We start from the raw sequence: 20,445 nt of genomic DNA, 5'->3' as shown, positions 1-20,445 counted from the left end.
CAGAGATGGAAGTCACAGAGAGTCCCAGCTGTCATGACAGGCACTAAGCCACATCCCTCCTTCGCTGAGTAGCAGCCAGTCACTGAAGGGAGCAGAGGGTTCTTAGGGTGAGACAATCCAGCTCACAATCAGATAACATGATCTGCCGTCCTTGGACATAAGCTATATGCAAAGCATTTTGAGGAGCACTTTATATCTGTTATTTCTAATCCTCATGACCACACCATTTGGAAAATATTATTATACCTATTTTACACACGAGGAAAACGTGGCTCAGAGAGGTTAAGTAACTAGTCCAATGTCACACAGCTAGTTATTAGCCGAGCTGGGATTCAAGATCTTGAGACTCTAAAACTCATTCTCTTCTCACAATTAAATGTTGCCTCTGAGAATGGTGTCCATGTTGGAAGAGGAAGGCAAAGAGAAGGTAGTTGGGAATGGATCTCACCAGATAGGAGATTTCCTTGTGAGATTTCAAGTTTCGACAAATGATAACTTTGAATATGTCAGTCATGAAAATGGATCTGACGTGCAGCCCCTGGGGAAAGAGAATCAGTGGGTAGGAGCAAAGGGCACAGAGTAAACCTGACCATATGTTTTCCTTGGCAGTGGGTGGGTTTCTTGTTCATCTGGCTGTCCTCGTGACATTTCCGTGCCTTCATCCTCTCACGCTGATCCCCCTGCAGAAAGTCTGACAAGCCACCTTTTCTGGACAAGGCTTTCTTCCCCTGATGCCTCCCAGCAAACACACACATGGGGTTAGGCACTCTCTCCTCAGCATTCCCATTGTTCTTGCCCATGCATCAGTACAGCAGGTATTATTCTAGGTACAGTCATTGTTTGTGTAGGCCTGGGGCTGCCACACCTGGAGGGGAATCTTTTACCCAAGACGAGAGCAGATGCCAGGAATCATCAGAGTTCCACTCATTCAAGAACAAGGAGATCTGAAGGGAATCTGCAGAACCCCACAACCAAAGAGGGCTATGGTCATGGGTGAAGCAGGGACCATGAATAGGAACTTGGACTGGTCGATGGGAGCAATACTAACAAGTTAGGCCTGAAAGGGCAGCATCTAGCATGGCGCCAGCACATAGATGGTCCTCAGGAAGTGAGTGATAAATCGGGGAGGAATGGATGGTACATGATGAACAGTCTTTATTAAGCCGAATCTCAGGCTGTATTTGTTACAGGCAGTTACCGCAGTCTGGGTTGAAGTCATAATTCTCTCAAGAACTTTGCATGCTCCTGGAACTTCCCACTATATTTCTCAACTGATTTCCCCATGAGTTTGACTAAGGATGTGGACCACTTGAGTTGGTAAACCACACTGACCATCCCCGCCACACTACAAGCAGCAGCAGCTCCCTATCCAGGCTCCTGTTTGCAGAGCTGGAAATGGCCGAGCTCTGCATGGTGGTTCAGCATGACTCAACCTCCTTGTTTGGGGGCCAGCCCCCACTCCTGGCCATGAATCTAACTGAGCCTAAAACCCCCTTGTTTTTCTAAGTGGGTGTTGGGAATTTCCTTGGTTAAGCCTCCAGGTCTTCCCTCCTTCCGGATTTAATGAGCTCATTTATTTTACTTTTTCACTTAGCAGGTTTTAGGGCCAGTTAATGAATGGTGGGGTTCTCTTTAAGAGCCAAGTTGGGCCGGGGCTCAGGGCACTTTTCTTGCCATTTCCCACTCTCAAGTCCCCTGTGTCTCTAGAAGTCTCTCCACAATGCTGGCAACTGCTCTTCCCACTGCAATCCCCATATATCGAACTTTCTGGAACACAAGGACAGGGAGACCTCCAAATATTTTTGTGGTTGTTGTTTTGTAGTTTGTTCTGCTTTGTTTTGTTTTTCCCCTCCACACATTTTTCTGGGATGGCTGTTTCAATATGAGCTTGTGCTTTCTAAAAAGAAGGAGGTGTGGATGCCTCAGGAAAAGAGATCCATTTTTAAATGCAGGGCCTCCACTCTGAGTTCTGTCTGAAGTATTTGGTAGATTTTTGGGGTGGAGCAAGCTGGTTGTGAATTCCAGGGAGACTTGCCAGATGCTGTTTAAACCTCCTTTGTGTGAAGTTGGCTGTAAAGAGCCGCCAGGAGGGCGCACTAGTGGAAAGGAACTTGGAAGCCAACCTTTAGCCCAGAAAGAATGAGAAAGAATCCAGGGTCCACATGGCAAGAATGCATGCCTGCAGCAACTCAATGACTGACTCAGTTCCTAGAAGCTCCTCTTGGTAACGCCCTCTCTTCTGCTAGGTTGAATCACATACTGGAGAAAGCTTAGTCCAAAGAGTCTCCTGTACCTTTGTCCATCTATCCACCCATCCAGTAAATAAAGATTGAGCATTTACTGTGGGTCAGACACTGAGCTAGGCACTAGGGCATCAGGAGGAACAACTGGCCACAGTCCTAATGAATGCCCACAGGTCAGAAGAGTCAGGATTCCTGTGTGGTGGGAATGACAGACAGTGGGGGAGGCACTAGAGGATAAGTCATAGAAACCTCAGCATGTCACGCTTGGATAGCTTGCAGAGCAGTTGCTAACTGCTTGTTTACTGCTGAAGCACCAAAGCTTGGATACGATGCTCCCAACTGGCAAGGCAGAGCCCACGGCTTGCTTCTGCCTGGGGACCAGGCTGTGGGTGGCAATGGGAGCCTGAGTTTCTCTGCTAAACCTTCATACCAGGCAAGAGTCTGGGGCCAGTATTATTAACCAAAAACACATTTTGAAGCTTGTTGTGATCTGACTCCCTACGTGACCCCAGCAAAAAACAGAGAGAAGGGCTCAGGTGGGGGAAGGCAGCCCACCTTCATCTGCATTGGGTTGCTGTGTGTATTGGCTCCCTAGAGCTGCTGCAACAAAGTACTACAGACTGTGTGGCTTAAACAACAGAAATTTATTTTCTCACAGTTCTGGAGGCTAGAAGTCCAAGATCAAGGTAGCAGTAGGGTTGGTTCCTTTTCAGCGCTATGCAAGAGAAGCTGTTCCCTGCTTCTCCCTTAGCTTCTGGTGGTTTGTTGGCAATCTTTGGCATTCTTTGGCTTTTAGAAGTGTCACCCTAATCTCTGCCTGCATCTTCATATGGTGTTCCCCCTGTGTGGATGTCTCCATGTTCAAATTTCACCTTTATATAAGAATACCAGTCATATTGGTTAACCACACCCCACCACGACTTTATCTTAACTAATTCAATCTGAAATGACTCTATCTCCAAATAAGATCATATTCTGCAGCACTGGGAGTTAGATTTCAATGTATGAATTTTAGGGGTATACAATTCAACCCATAGCACCATGATTCTGACGTTATCCTTCTCCTCCAGCCATCAGCAGTACCTATGAGGAGGAGGTCAGGGCTGAGTCCATCTCAAGGAGGATCAGGAGTGGTGTCCTAGGGAGAACCAAAGGGTAGTCTACAAGCAGGGAAACAACTACTAGAAGGAGAGTTTGGGCTAGAGAGGAGTCTGGCACATGGATGTCTCATAAGCAGCTGCAGAAACGTAGAAGAGCAGTTATCAGGGTGCACAGATTTGGTCCTCTACCCCATTGTGCTTGGAGATAGCAGGAGCCTAAAGGAGAAGAAAGCCCCAAGCGGGCAGCTATTTTTAGCCTGGGACAGAGTTGTCAGAGGATGGCAGGGGGCAGAAAGGCCCCTGGGATCTGGGTGAGAAGACCCTGGGACTTTGAAGAAAGGGGAGAATAGCTATCAAGGTCCAGAGCTCCGGAGGACTTTTGAGTCGTTTAGTGTGCAGGAATGAGAATGTGAGACTGTGAGCGAGGGCACCTGGGGTGACTCTGCTTGCATGAATGACTGGGTGTTCATTCATAGCCATCCAGGGTTAGCTAAGACTCTTAGCCACTTCCTCTTTGAAACACAAGATTAATTTAATTAAAAAGCATAATTGTGGTGGGATATTGTCATATAGCCTTGTAGACTTTGGCAGATAATTCTGAAAAAGAAAATAGGGTACATTTGCCTTACCAAATATTGACATTTAAGATAAAGTGATTTTCATCAAAATAATATGTTTTGGCACATGAACAAGTGGTCCACTGGAACAGGCTAGAATCCAGGAATGGGTACCGTATGTTTGCAAAATTAGTATTTGATAAAGACAACATTTCAATTCAGCAGGAAAGTTAGGATTGATTCAAGAAATAGTGCTGACCTAATTGGCTCTTCATCTGGGGAAAAAAAGTGAGATGGGTTTTGGTTAAAGATATAAATGTAAATAAGTAAACACAAAGGATTTGAAGAAAATCTAGTGGAAAGTTTCTATAACTTTGGCATAGAGGGCATAAATTTAATGGTAGCAAGAATCCCAAAATCCAACAAGGAGAAAACAAATGACATATTTTCTCACTTTTTTTTCAAATTACAAGAACAAAACATTATAAGCAAAGTCAAAAGACAAGCTATAGTCTCAGACAAACATTTGCAGCATATATGAAAGGATATGATCCTTAACTTACCCAAAGCTCATAAAAATTGGTAATGAAATGGCCAAAAGCAACAGGAAAAAATATGAACAAGCAATTCACAAAAGAGGAAATAAAGATTTAGATGGGATAGAGAAGTTAGAGAAAATAAAATTTAGTTCTTTATTCCACATATTGGGCAAAAATTAAAAAGACCAGAAACATCCTATGAATGAGCACTTTTATATCTTGCCAGTGGGAATGTGAAGTACTCAAGTCTCCAGGGAAAAATAATCTAGCAATGCCTGTTAAAGCTCAAAATGCACACCCATTAAATCAGGAACCCTATTGCGGGCAGTCATTCCAGTAGATATAAAGTCATCAGTACCCAAGAATATGTTGACAAGGGTGTTTACAGTAGCATTGTTCACTGTGGCAAAATATTGGGCAATGCACAATTATTCACCAATAATAAAATGGCCAAATAAGCATGGTAATTCCATGCTGTGGGCTATCCTGTAGTTATCACAAAGAAAAATGAATGAGTTAGATCTATGAGCATATTCACATGAGCCAGCTGCAGTGGTGGGTGCTTGTGATCCCACTCACTTGGGTAGCTGAAGTGGTAGGATTGCTTGAGTCCAAGAATTCAAGATCAACCTGGGAAAAATTGCAAGATCCTATTAAAAAAATGTACACACACACACACACACACACACACACACACACACACACACATATTCTCAACATGTGAATCTATATGTTATATATTACATATATATGTTTATGCATGGAGAGACATGCTAGTCTTATATTAAATGAAAAAAGCAAGTTATGAGAAAATGTGTATACTATGACTCAATCGTTATAAAAATGTTGAACAAGCAAAACAAAACTCAACACACATGTCTGTTCTGTGTTTGCATGTATTTATACCAATTTGGATAAGCACAGTTTAACGGTGTAAGTTGCCTCAGGACATAGAAATAAGAAGTGATTTTAAACTTCCTGTTTCTCTATGTTTGGCTGTTTTGCCTATTACAAGCATTTTTTTTTTTTTAATTAAAAGCTATTGGATACAGGCAATTTAAAAGGGAAAAAAAGGACAAAGTACTTGAAACACTCCTATGACTCACTGGGCCCTCAGGATAAAGTCTGCTCTCTTTAGCTGACTTACAAGGCCCTTGGAATCTGGTCCGTGCGGCACCAGCCGTTCCCTTGTTCTGCCGTTTCCCTCTGTTCTCCAGCTGTACAGGACCAGGAGCATTCTTGACACAAGGCTGCCCTCTTATACACCTTAACCTCATCCACCTTGGGAATCTCTGAGGCTCAGCAAGGTACTCCCTACCTATTCCTATAGCAGCTTGTACCTATCTCCTTGGTGGTATTGTTGGCTTCCTTGTGATCACCTGTTTACTTTAGTCTTATTCCAAATTAGACTGTATGTTCCAGGAGGGCAGGCGTAGTGTTCCTCATGGTGTTCCCAAAGACATGTTTAGGTAATTGTAGGTGCTAAATGCAACAAATATTTGTTGAATGAATAAATGAAAGAGGAAAGAAATGAATGCCAAACATTAGAGATGCAAAAAAAGAAACCCCACAGTCTATTCCCTTAAAATTGTGTAGGGCAGCAGCAAGCATGTAAACAGCCTAGTTACAGTATAAGAAGATAATTACTGTCATAGAACAGAGGGAATATAACCTACCCAAAATAGCCTGGGGAAAGTCTGGAAGCAGTCACCACTGAGAAAGCACTTAATCAAAGACCTGAAGGATGAATAGATATTTACCAGGAAAATAAGAGGATAGAGTGATGTTTCTGGCATAACGACCAGCTCCTGCAAGAGCAAAGAGAACGTATTCTGAAAATCTCAAGAAATTTAGTCTTGCTTGAGAATAAAGTTCAAGGTTGAGGAAAGGAGTATATGAAGGATAATAAATGGAAGCAATCATACTGAAACCAAATCATTCAAGTAGGGTCCTGCAGGTAATGCCCATGGGTTTAGAATTTATATTGAAGGTAGACACAGGGAACTATTGAAAAAAGACTTAAGCAACGGTGTGACATGAAGGGCTTTGGATCACACTGACAAAATAAAGATGGGTTAGGGTGGGGATAGGAGATGATGTCAGATAAAGGGAAATTGGCCAGGGGCACAAAAGAAAGGAGTTTTCTACAATCTCCTGATGAAGTTATCAGTCTGAACCAGGGCAGAGACAGAAGTGAGCTCAATCAAGGAAAGATTAGCGAAGTACAAAGGAGATCAAGTTGACATGACTGGGTGCTTGATGGGCTGTGGTGGGATGGAGAATAAAAATGACCCTTACATTTCTGATTTGGCAACTCATTTCATTTATTATAAGAAACACTGGAAAAGAAGGCACTTTGAGAAAAATAAAAATGAACTCAGCTTCGGCCACTCATTTCATAGGGCTGACATAGCAAGGTTACACTAACTATGTGGCTGAAACAAAATAAATCTTCTCTTTTCTCACAGTTCTGGAGGCTGGAAGTTCAAAATATAGGCGCCAGCAGGGCCGTAATCCCTCTGAAACCTGACGGGGAGAAGCCTTCCTTCCCGGCCTCCTCCCTGGCTTCTGGCAGTGGCCGACAGTCCTTGGTGTTCTTGGCTTGCAGCTGCATCACCCCAGCTTCTGCCTCTGTCATCACACAGCCTCTCTGTGCATCTCTGTGCATTTTTGCAAAATGTCATATGACATTTTCTTCTTCTTATAAGGATACCGGGCATGTATTGGATTAGGAACCACCCTAATGACTTCTTGATTACATCTGCAAAGACCCTATTTTCAAATGAGGTCACATTTACAGGTACAGGTTAGGCTCCAACACATCTTTTGGGGAGGGGGTACCAATTCAACACCTAATAACAGTTTAAAGTTCGAGTTTGAAGGGACATGGGACCTTTGGGGGAAGATGTCCAGGAGGCCTTGGATAGATGGGGGAGAGGGCTCAAGGGACAGGTCTGGTCTGCATAGCTTTAGGATCTACAAGCAAGGAGACACAGCATGGGGTACTCACAGCAAGTAGGTGAGTGACCTGAGAAGAGAAGCCTTGAGGAAGGTTGTGGTTAAGAATCCCACACAGGGAGTGACTGTGAAGGAAGGACCAGAGCATGTGTGTCTGCCAAGAACCCTGTGTGCATGGCTGTCACTGAGCCAGCCTGTGTCCCTCCTTTCCTGAGAGCTGACCTTTGCCCCTTAGAACCCCAGACGCTGTGTTTTCTGGTTCTTCCACATGTGAATTCCTCCCTTAATATTTGACACTGCTTCTCTTCCTTGTTCAGCAAGCACTGGTGAGACCTGCAGCCACCTCTCAGAGTCAGCAGGGCTATTACAAGATGTTGGGGCCAGCCGCCTCCTTAAACTCAGCACTACAGTACAGCATTGATAAAGCAAACAAGGCAAGCTTGTTTGTACTTCGTATGTCTTCAGAAATGAGCTGGCAGTTTTGTAGTAACACTGAGGAATTACACTTTAGTGCATCACTGAACTATTCCTGCATGTCCATACAAGTGTTGTCCACAGAGTACACATCTTCCCCGTCCTATCCCATACCCCCAACCCTAAGACAGTCTGTCAAGCCAGCTTTCAAGTATCAGAGAAAGCTGCAGATTCTATCTAGAAGGTGAAATGGGAGGTCAGAGCAGACCAGAACGAGTCAGCCAAACGCCTCTATACCCATGCCTCTGAAAGGGGTGCCTTTCAAGTAGGGTAGAGCAATGGAACATGTTCTCCGTGAGGGCAGGACGCTTGGCTGGCTAGCCTCAGCACATTCAGCATCTGGTGGGCTCATGGTAGACACTCAACAAATCTGCCCAGGCTCTGGGTGGCCTAGGATATGAGATGTTTGTCCACACTGGGATCAGAAAATGACTGACCAGTGATGCCTGGCTAATGTGGGATTCCCACTCTGATGCTTGGAGAGCAGGAGTGAGATGCTATCTCTGTCATCTTTTCTTTTCTCTGGGGATGTGGAGGAGGCAGTGGTCAGTGGCCAGGCCTACTGCAGTACGGCAGTTCTGAGCCTCCTACTGCTTGCTCCCACAAGGTCCACTCTCTTTGCCTCTGGGAAGTGAAGAGCAAACAATGGTCAGGATGAATGTTGCATTAAGATTTAGTAAAAACAATGGCTAATATTTATCAAGTGCCTGTTAGGGAGTAGGCTCTATGTGTCTTATATGCATATCTCAGGTAACCCTTGGTACAACTCTATGAGGTAAATTCTATGTCTATCGCCATTTTTTATTTTATTTTATTTATTTGTTTAATTTTATTTTTTTGAGACAGAGTCTTGCTCTGTTGTCCAGGCTGGAGTGCAGTGGCACAATCTCAGCTCACTACAGCATCCGTCTCTCAGGTTCAAGCAATTCTCCTGCCTCAGCCTCCCAAGTAGCTGGGACTATAAGCACATGCCACCGCATCTGGCTAATTTTTGTATTTTTAGTAGAGATTGGGTTTCATCATGTTAGCCAGACTGGTCTTGAACTCGTGACCTCAGGTGATCCGCTCGCCTCGGCCTCCCAAAGTGCTGGGATTACAGGCCTAAGCCACCACACCCAGCTGTTTTTATTCTTGAGAAGGAGTCTTGCTCTGTCGCCCAGGCTTGAGTGCAGTGGCGCCATCTTGGCTCACTGCAGCCTCTGCCTCCCAGGTTCAAGCACTTCTGCCTCAGCCTCCTGAGTAGCTGGGATTACAGGCGTGCACAACCACACCCAGCTAATTTTTGTATTTTTAGTAGAAACGGGGTTTCACCACGCTGGCTAGGATCTCGAACTCCTGACCTCAAGTGATCTGCCTACCTGGGCCTCCCATAGTTCTGGGATTACAGGCATGAGTCCCTGTGCCCAGCCTTCTATTACCATTTTAAAAATGGAAAAAATGAAATTTAAAAAGGTGAAGTCACTCTACACCAGGTTTCACAGCTAGGATGTGATGGTGCAGGTGTTTGGACCCAGATTGTCTGGATCTAGAGCCCACTCATTGAACCCTTTCATTCCACTTGCGAGCTGTGTTGATCTCTTTTTGAAATCTCCTCCACTGGTTACACGTTTTGCTTATGAGTTATTGCCCATGAGAAAGGGCAAGAATGATGTGGAAGGTTAGGAAACCCTCAGGGCCAGTGTTGTCAGGTTCCAGGAATTAGAAGACGACTTCGGCTTCGTGAAGAAAAACAGCAGTGAGTTTGGAGGGAAATGCAGAGGAGCCTGGGTGTGTAGCGTCGTTGCTGCCCGGGAGCTCTGTGTGTCTGGCTGGCTGAGATCAGCTGTCACCATGTACAAGCCTACAAAGGATGTGGACTCACAGACTGTACTTGTCAGTCAGCAAATTATACATCAGAACCAGTGATTCACAGCCTTTGAAGATTGGTGGGGACCTCAAAGATAATCCAATTTGACTCTAATTTCACAGGTGAGAAGCCTGAGGCCCACAGGTCAGAGCAAGGATTATGGTGGATTAAAAATGACAGCGAATTGGCCCAGGTACACAGGGCTGCCCTACATGGTGGGCGTCCTGTAGGCGTCTCAGTTGGCTTGGAGGACCTGGGGCTTATAATTGGGCGCCAGGGTTGGGGGTGGCTGCTTCTGCGGGGCACCGCAGCCTTGGAGAGGTGGCTGGTAGTTGGAGGGCAGCGAGTAGGCATTCTGGTGGGCTTTGCGGAAGGAGGGCGGGGGTCATGGACTGCAGGGCGTTTCTGAAGTCGGCGTGGACGGCTTGCTCTGCCAGGGAGAGGGGCCCCCCACAACGAGGCCATCTCCTTGGCCCATAATCCTACTTGTACTTCATGCGCCGGTTCTGGAACCAAATCTTGATGTGGTGCTGGCTGTGGTACAGCAGGTTGGCCATCTGTAGGCGCGAGGCCCACGCAGGCGGCATGGAAGTGGAACTCGCTGTCCAGCCCCACCCACTGCGCGCTCCTAGGACTCCCTGGGACTCGTGTCTTCCTCACCGCCGCTGCCGCCCCCTGTTGGATGCAAAGGGCAGGGGTGGGAAGGGGAAAAGTAAAATATAATAACTGGGGGGAGGGGCGAGGAGGCTGGGAAAGGTGACTGGAAAACAAACAAGGTGACCGAAAATGCCTTGACATTTCTCCCATTTAGTGGTGGGAACTACATCCCTCCCGCACCACTTCGCCCCACCCCACCCCGATTCTGGACAGGTTCTGTAATTGCTTGGCCTGCCTAAGTGACACTGTGCCAGTTTATGGCCTCAGGCCTTACGGGACCAGCGGCTTCCACTTCCTGCTCTGGGAATCTGGACTCTCGGAACCCAAATGCCATACTGCGAGGAAGCTTCAGCAGCCCCAGAGACACATGTGGGAAGGAGTTAGGGTCCCTGGTCAGCAGCCTCTGCCGACAGTCAGCATTTTGGAGCTAACTAGGAAGTGGATCCTCCAGCTCCATTCAAGACTTCCTTGTTGGAAATACATGGAACAAGAACAGCCGTCTGCTCAGAGTTCTCCCCAAAATGCAGATTAATGAGCAAACTAGATGTTTGTTGCTATGTGAAGCCACTGAGTTTTGGGATGGTTTTTTTGTTTGGTTTGGTTTGGTTTTTTGAGACGGAGTCTCACTGTCGCCCAGGCTGGAGTGCAGTGGCGCAACCTCGGCTCACTGCAACCTCCGCCTCCCGGATTCACGCCATTCTCCTGCCTCAGCCTCCTGAGTAGCTGGGACTACAGGCGCCCACCACCACGCCCGGCTAATTTTTTGTATTTTTAGTAGAGACGGGGTTTCACCGTGTTACCCAGCATGGTCTCGATCTCCTGACCTTGTGATCCGCCCGCCTCGGCCTCCTAAAGTGCTGGAATTACAGGCGTGAGCCACCGCGCCCGGCCGGGATGGTTTTCTACACAACACTAGGTAACCAGAACAAGGACCGAGTTGTGGGCTTTCTGACTCTCAGCCAGTGTTTCTTTCACTCTATTTTGCTGGAGCTCAGTGGTTCCCTGTGAGTCTCCTGGTCACTCAGTAGTCTCAGCGCTCTGTGAGGTTGGACATGCTGGTAAATCACCCTGCATAAGGACGGCTGGATGACTCAATGTCTTCAGCAGAAGTCACCAAACCTAATGATCATGAGAATCCCTGGGGTGTGAAGTAAGAGGTGTCCTCTACTCAACGAATTCTCTGACTCATCTATTAATTCAATTTTGACACTAACTGCCTGGAGTGAGTGTCAGGCAACACAGGGTTAAGGTCTCAGACCCACAAGACTGCTCTCACTTCAGGAGCCAGTCACAAGTATCAAGCCCCCAAAGTTACCAAATTGGCCACAAACTTGGGGGTTCTCATAGCTTCTCCTGGCCCAAGTTTTGATAATTTGTTAGAACAATTCACAGAACTCAGAAAAATGCTATATTTACTATTGAAGTTGATTATAAAGGATACAAATGAACAGCTAGGTGAAAAGGTACATAGCACAAGGTTTGGGAGGGTCCCAAGTGCAAGAGCCTTTGGGGATGTGTTTGCCAGTTTGGAAGCTCTCTGAGCCCCATCTTTTAGGGTGTTTTTTTTTTTAATGGAGATTCTGTTACAAGGGCATAATTGATTAAATTATTGGCCATTTGTAATTTGACTCAATTTCCAGCTCCACTCCCCTCCCGAGAGGTTCAAGAGTGGAACTGTGTAGCTCAAAGTTTCAACCCTCCACTCACATGGCTGATCCCCCTGGAACCCATGAGAAGCTATCTCAGGCCCACCCTGAGTCACCTCATTAGTATAGACTCAGATATGTTTGAAAAGAGCTTGTTATGAATAACGAGACATCCCTAACACTTCTAACAGTCAGAAAATTCCAAGGGTATTAGAAGCTCAGTGCCAGAAATGGGGGACAAGGACCAAATAAGCCTTTTTATTTTACTACAGAGGATTAAGTATGTAGATTCTTGGGACCTATTCCAACTGTATATTGAATTAAAATTCTTAGGAATAAGACTCAGACATCTCTTTTTTTCTTTCTTTTTTTTTTTTTTTCCTGCTGGTTTGTTGATCTTGGACATTCCTAGTTTCTAAAGCATCCCCAGTGATTCTGATGACCAGCTAGCTTTGAAAATTACTGATCATGAATCATTTGTGAGGAATTTGGAGAAACATCCCAGCATCACCTACATGCACAGATTATTCTAAACTAGACATTACTGGATTTTTCCACTTATGTTAAGATTCTTGGGCAGGATGAGTTTTTTCTACTTCTTGGTTAAGCCAACCTGAGGCCTCCAGGTTCTCTCCAGACCTGTGCTTCAACTTGGTGTTGGCCTGGGATCCTCAATATAGATGTCTCTGATGCCCCTGGGCCAGGCTAATGTGAGTTATTAATGTTGTTTGCCAACTATTTATAGCTCTTCTCTCTTCTGGGCACATGGCAGAATTGCACTTTCTTGCATCCTTTGATTAAGTGGGCCCATATACCTAGCTCTGGCCAATGATCAGAAGTGATGTGTGTCACTTCTGGGCCAGAACATTTTATTACCAGTGCAAGATCCTCCAGAATTCTCTGTCTTTCTATCTGCATGGTGGGAGTGGCAACTTTCTGAATGGCAGTTGCTCTGTTAGTATGAGTTCCTGAGTGACTGTGATGTACAGGACCTCCTTGCTGACTTACGATGGACGTGTAGTATTAGCAATAAAGAGATTTTTATTGTTTGAAGCCACTGAGATTTGGGGGATGTTTGTTATGGTAGCATAGTCTAGTCTAGCCTGATTGATCTAGGCAGAGATTGTAGGCTTATCCCTCTGAAGCTTTCTCATTCTTTTGTGGCTTTGGGATTAGGATCATGCCTCTTAACCAATTTGGGTTTTTTTTTTTCTACTTCAAAGACTTATTAATGACAAAAGTCTCTCCTTATTAATGCAGGAATTAGCACTCTTTCACCCAGTAAACTTGTCAGGGGCCTGTCAGTATTCTCAGAACAACCAGTAACTGTTGAGAAAATGATGCTATCAGTTGAATGGTAGTGGCTTTTGTTTGCTTATCATGTGCAACTCATAATTATGAATGCCGGGACATAAACTAACAAAGAAAATTCTAGTTAACAGTGTTTAAAATACTTCATAGAGTATTGTCTTTTTAAAGGGCTGTCTTACAGACATGCTTCACAATTTTTCTGAAAAGCCAGTGGTGTGAGATAATCTGTCTGTCAGTGAAATTAGTGTCGTTTTCCTACCCTCAGCAAAGGTGATATTTATTAAAACTGTTTTTTAGAGATTATTTTTCTCTCTTACTTTAGTACAGAAGTCAAGACCCCTGGTAATCAAAGAGAGGAAGCACTGCGTTACCTCCTGAGTCAGCACATAGATGGGGCTGCGTCTATGCAGCTGTGACTTGTCATTGATTGCCATTCTTTTCCTTGGGGGAAGAACATAAACTTTTTTATGGCTGCTTTCTTTCATCTTTTATGCAAAAATAGCCACCAATGCTTCTTGTGTTGGTATCCTGGGTGATGAGTTTTCTTTATTCAGTTTATAGGTAATTATCTCCCTATTAGATCAATCATTTAATTTTATTTCTACATATAGAAGTTTTTACCTTTTGTACAAGTAATATGTGTATACATTCTGTTTATAAATAATTCAAGTACTGCAAATAATGCTGAAATCCCCGTTTGCCACTTCTCATTTTCCTCTCCAGGGTGAATTATATGTGTGTATCCCTTCGAATTTTTACATACATATTTACATGCACATGTGTACTTGTGAAATTATAATATTTTTATGTTTTAATTTTTCACACAAATGGAATTTATTGTATGTACTGTTCTAAAATGGCTTTATTCACTTAACATATCTTAGAGAGTTTTCCATATTGGTATAAATGGAGAAAACTCATTCTGTCTGTTTATTTTCTATAATATGCATGTGCCATATTATTTAATAATTACCCTACTCACAGACACTAAGGTTATTTCTAAGATTTTATTATTACAATAATGTGGCCACAAATGTTTTTATACACATGACTCTGTACAGATGTGAATGTTTCTCTAGAATTGATACAGAGCAATGAAATGGCTTTGTCAAAGAATCTAAAACTTTAATTTTAGCAGATATTTCCCAATCTCCCTCCAAATTGTCTGAATCATTATGTAACAACTATTTCCCCTTATTTTTGCCATCATTTTATATTAAGAAACATTTAACTCAAAGGTAAAAATATTTCATTTCAATTTTCATTTCTTCAATTAGTAGAGAGGTTAAACTGTTTCTATATTTTTATTTCTATTAATTATTTCTTTAGAAAATTTGTCTATTTTCGTATTGCATTGTTTGTCTCCTCCTCATTCTCCTCCTCTGTCTCCTTCTTCTTAACTTAAATAACAGACTTTTATTTCTCACTGTTCTGGAGGCTGGGATGTTTGAGATTAGAGTGCCAGCATGGCTGGGTTCTGATGAGGGCTGTCTTCCTGATTTGCAGATGGCTGTCCTCTAACTGTATTCTAACATGGTGGGGACAGCTTTTTCCTTTTGACTTATTGGAATTCTTTTTATATCCTGCATACTATTCCTTTCATATTCATTGCAAATATTTTCTCTGAATATGTCTCCTTTAACTTTGTCTTGTGGTTGTTTTTTCTGCTCAGCTTATTACCTCTGTTTTCCATTAGTCAGATTCATCTATTCATTGAGTTTGAGAGTGCCTCTTTTTAATGGTGCTAGCTTTTCTCACATGTTTAATGATTTGTGATTGCAAGTGATTCTTTGTATTTGTTTTTTCCTGTTAATTGCTATTCATTCATTATGTACTCACAAGTGTACATAGGATAGGGTGAGAGGCAGGAGAGAGAGGCATTCCGTGATGCTGCACTTATACTTTGTGTGTGTAGTGAGCCTAGGGAAGGGCCAATGACTGCCAGCTATGTTACTTTGATAGTTAGACTGCTTCTCTGTCCAAATGCACATACTCATTGCTCATCTCTAAGGGCAAACAGCTCTGTTGCCTAATTGCCTTGGGCAACTGACAACCCTGCAAGTATGAGAAGGAAGGGTGGGAAGGTGGGAAGTTGGAAGGAGAGGAAGATTCCATATACCTGGTGGCTCTTTCTGCGGGACCTTAAATAATAAGCCTGTTAGTGATTCCAGTATACCGTCGTCCTGTGAGTAACTGCTCCTTCCTGGTAGGGTATGCCCGGTAGAGTTATCTCACCTTTTTTATTTGCCCTCTCCTGTGTGCATGTTGCTTGTGGTTTTCTTCTTCAGTCTAATTCTATACACGTTCTATGTTTTAGTGATTTTTTTTCCCGATTTTTGGTCCACTGAGGGTACATCTTATTTTCCAGAGTAAGTTATCCTTTCTAAGAATTTGGGGTGAAGAAAGAGGTTGCCACATGTGATCTGTCAGCCATCTTGAACCAGAAGCTCAGAAGTCATCCTACCTGATTTATATTGCACTATTCAGTCAGATACTTCTGAAATATTAAACACTTCTCTTGGACAAGAAAGAACAGAAGGAGACTGGAGGGTTTGCCTCATTAATGTAAATATTCTCATCCAGGCCTAGTTCTCATCAGTCCATCTAGGCTGGACTGATTATTTAATTAAGCTAAAGAGGGTAAATAAAAGGAGGAAAACCAGACAAAGTAAAAAAAAATCCATCTTCAAATTTATCTCTGACTGTATTTTCTACTGGAATTTCCCTAAAGCCCCCATCCTGGCTTGCTTATAAGCTGCTTTTATCTATTTTGTGTCTGAATATAATTTGCATATTCATGTCTGAGTCAATTTTCAAGTTGCAACACTTCCACGGCCTTCATTCACTGATGATTCGTCTGGGAACAAAACTGTCCTTTAACAAACCTGGCTGTTAAGTGGAAACAAACAAGTCATAAATCACACAGAGCAGGTTTGGCTTGTGGCTTATGGCTCAGGGGCAGTATTTTTGTAAGTTGCTCATGCCCATGACAAATATGTGCCCTTGCAACTTCTCCTTGACCAGACCTTGCTGCATGGGGGTAGGGTAAATCCTGCTCGTGGCTATGGGCCTTGGCGAGCAGTCCTTAATTTCTCCTTTGTCTTTTACTTACTATGAGGGGGTCCAAGGCCTCTATTTTCTGATCCTGCCTATGAGAATGGGAAAGGATCAAAAATATTTACTGTATATCTCAGTCAATGTGTTATTTGATCCTGGGGTAATTTCTAGTGGGCTCCCCTTCTCCCTGATAATATATACAATACCTTGGAAAAACTTAGTTTACATGCCACAGGTGAGCCACACCAATTAAAAGAACTGGCATCTACATTTATATCAACAAAGAATATGAGCGACCCCAACTTCCATTGATCTTCTATTCACGAATTTTCTCCTGTGAATGTTTATATCTGTTTTCTCACATGGTTAGATAAGGTAAGCAAGACTGAATTTTTTTCAGGACTATACTTTCATCAGTGCTAGCTTAAGGAATACTTCAATAACTTGAAGCAGAAAATAGAAGTTTATTTTATTTAATGTAGTCAGAGGAGGTTTACTTAACTTTGTTCTCAGATCAATGATTTTGGAAAATGAATATGCCCTGAGAGACCCCATCCATCAGGCTCCCAATGACTCAAAGAATTGTATATCTTTAATGATGTGAAAAAACATCTGAACACATTAACCTTGAAATTATGAGGGAAAAGTAAAGAAGATCTGTAATTTTTTTTTCAGCACCGAGATGGAATAGAAAGACCTGTAATTTATTGAATGAAGTTGAGTATTTAGATTCAAACTGGGCATATTTTTCTTTATCAAACTGCCCTGAGTTCATTGGAAATACAGATTTGTGGAAATTGTAGATATTTCCTGGAAATGAAGTCATTGTAAAAGAGCATCCCAGAATTTTTAAAAAGATGTATATGAATCATTCTTTAATTTTGTGTAGCTGCTTTTGGAATAGAAACCTCAGGATATTCAGAACTGCTAAACATTAGCTTGAGCAGCGTGGATGTTTGCATTATAAGTACTTCGTATGCACTCTACTATAAAGACACATGCACACATACGTTTATTGCAGCACTGTTCACAATAGCAAAGAGTTGGAACCAACCCATATGCCCATCAATGGTAGACTGGATAAAGAAAATGTGGCACACATACAACATGGAATACTATGCAGCCATAAAAAAGGATGAGTTCATGTCCTTTGTAGGTACATGGATGAAGTTGGAAACCTTCATTCTCAGCAGACTAACACAGGAACAGAAAACCAAACACTCCATGTTCTCACTCACAAGTGGGAGTTGAACAATGAGAACACGTGGACACAGGGAGGGGAACATCACGGGCCTGTCAGGGTGTGGGGAGCTAGGGGAGGGATAGCATTAGAAGAAATGCCTAATGTAGATGATGGGTTGATGGGTGCAGCAAACCACCATGGCACATGTATACCTATGTCACAAACCTGCACATTCTGCACATGTATCCCAGAACTTAAAGTATGTATAGATATATACCTATGGATATCTATATCTATATATATGTGTATATATATATATAGAAGTACTTTGTATGCACCAAGAGCATATATATATATATATATATATATATGTACTTTGTAGGCACCAAGAGCTTCACATACCTGAAGTTTTGGGACAAGGATATACATACTAGACTAAATTGCGAATATATTCCATAGTTTTGATAATGACTCAGCTTGTTGATACCAGTTCTATAATTAACAACACCGAAGGTGAATTGAGACTGGTACCAGGCCTATGAATGTTTTGTAGAAACAACATTTATTAAAAAAATGTGCTTTGATCTGCTTTGGTATTGGAGCTAACAAATTTATGTTTCTAGCTAGCACACAGACCCTCAGTAAAACTTATGAACAGTACACACACACATATGACATATGATCCATCACTGGAAAAATGAAATGCCCAACTGGATAGGGTGTCTTTGAAAGGTTTATGACTCATGGCTAATCTCTGCAGCCATATTAGGATTTCTAAATACCCAGGACCATTATGGAAGATGGGCACAGGTCCTGTTATCATTTGGCCATACCACCTTTTCCCTATCTAAATAAGATAATGCTCTTTCATCTGTGCATGAGGTTCTGTTTTCATCAGCGTTCTCTAAGGAACCCTCATGGGGAGGGAATGACTAGCTCATTCAAGTAAAGTCTCTTCTGGATACAGTTGCAATCCTTGCATACTTTGTGTTCTGTTTTGCCTGTGACATTACAGCTCTCTGACTTGAATTTTCTCTGCTCTGTCTTTGACCATTACATGAAGCATTTTTGCTAATGAGACGTAAATCTTTATGCTGGATAAATGCCATCTGCCACTATATACTTTTCAGGTTGGATTACTGCCACACTTCTTTTAGAATATTTGTCTGCACTAAGATATAATTTTGGTTTATTGTCCAAAGTCTGGAACAGATTCTAATCCTTCTCCCTCTGGTTTGTTTTCCATCTTTGTGTGTAGTACACTTATCTCTCATTGAGATATCTTTGGCATGCTCCTCTATCTTGCCTCTTAAGTCATTGTGACTGCTTAGAAGCACCAAGAGTTTCTTTCCAGGACTAATAGATTTAGCTATATCCTATGTTCTTAAAAAAATCCTTCCGAGTTATTTTGTGTTGTGCAATCTTATGGCTTTCATTCTCAGCCTTTTAACATCGTATAGTTAGTCAAAGTCTGGGGGAGAGAGGATAGATTTTGACCTCTAACTATTTACACGATGAAACTAGCTCAAATCCTTTTATGGATTTTTTTTTGGATTATCAAAGTAATATATGCTTGTTAGAGAAAACTATAAAATAGAGAAAAAGAAAAAAGAGAAACAAAACAAAATCCAGAGAAAATACATATTGTTTTTGAGTATCTTTTTTTTTTTTTTTTTTGAGGCAGAATCTCGCTGTGTGGCCAGGCTGGAGTGCAGTGGCGCGATCTCAGCTCACTGCAACCTCTGCCTCCTGGGTTCCAGAGATTCTCCTGCCTCAGCCTCCCAAATAGCTGAGACTACAGGCGTGTGCCACTAATTTTTGTATTTTTAGTAGAGATGGGGTTTCACCATGTTGGCCAGGACAGTCTTGATCTCTTGACCTCGTGATTTAAGTAGTACAGAAATTTGGGCTACATTCATATTTGTATTCTGCTTTTAAATTTCATATTATATCATAAGCATTTCCTCATGTTAATACCAGCTTCACAAACATCTGTAATGGCTTTAAGACATTTAATCATAGAAATGTACCATGATATAAGTACTCATATATAGTTGAACATTTTGCTTCCAAATTTTTACTAGTGTACAACATCTTTGTATGTATGGCTTTTTAAAATGTTTCAAAAATTAGTTTTTTAAGTTGGTGATTTGTTGACTAGAACTTGACTAGAAACTTCAGAAGTATCATCAACATAAAGTTAAAATATTTAAAAGAGAAAAACAGAAAAATCTGAATAAATATATTACATAATCATGGCACATTTATCAAAACTAAGAAACTGACATTGGTACCATACACTGACTACAGTATAGATTTTTTTCAGATTTCCACAGTTTTTCCCTCATATCATTTTCTTCTTTCCTAGGATGCAATCCAGGATACCATATTGCATTTAAGATTCAACTTTTAGAGGCTGGTGACAAATAGATTATTCAGAAACGCTGCTGAAGTGTACATTTTCTGGGTTTTTGCATAGCTAACAATGTGTTTCTCATACCTTGTAAATGGCAGCCATTTTGTGGGTGGATTCTTGAGTCACAATTTTCCCTCTGTGTTACGTTTTTAAATATTTTAACATCATGATCATTTTCCTTAAACATTTCTTTTTATTCGGTCTAATCATTCTGAGTCCCTTGGATTTTTTCTTTATGATTCAGTTCCTCATATAATCTGGCTCCTCCTGTGATATTTGAAACCTTCACAAATCTGCTTGTGCCTGGCGGAACCTCACTGGTTGTTTGTTGCTGAGACCTGGACTCAACACTCTGGAAGTCTCACTAATACAGAGTACTTGAGAATTCCCGCTACCTATTCAATACTTGGCTTCTGTCATCAACACTTGGATTTATGACACAACTCATGACTATAGTA

Source organism: Homo sapiens, chromosome 2, assembly GCF_000001405.40.
Source record: "Homo sapiens chromosome 2, GRCh38.p14 Primary Assembly".
In the NCBI taxonomy this organism is placed as follows: Eukaryota; Metazoa; Chordata; class Mammalia; order Primates; family Hominidae; genus Homo; species Homo sapiens.
Note: the sequence above shows the minus strand (reverse complement) of the source record.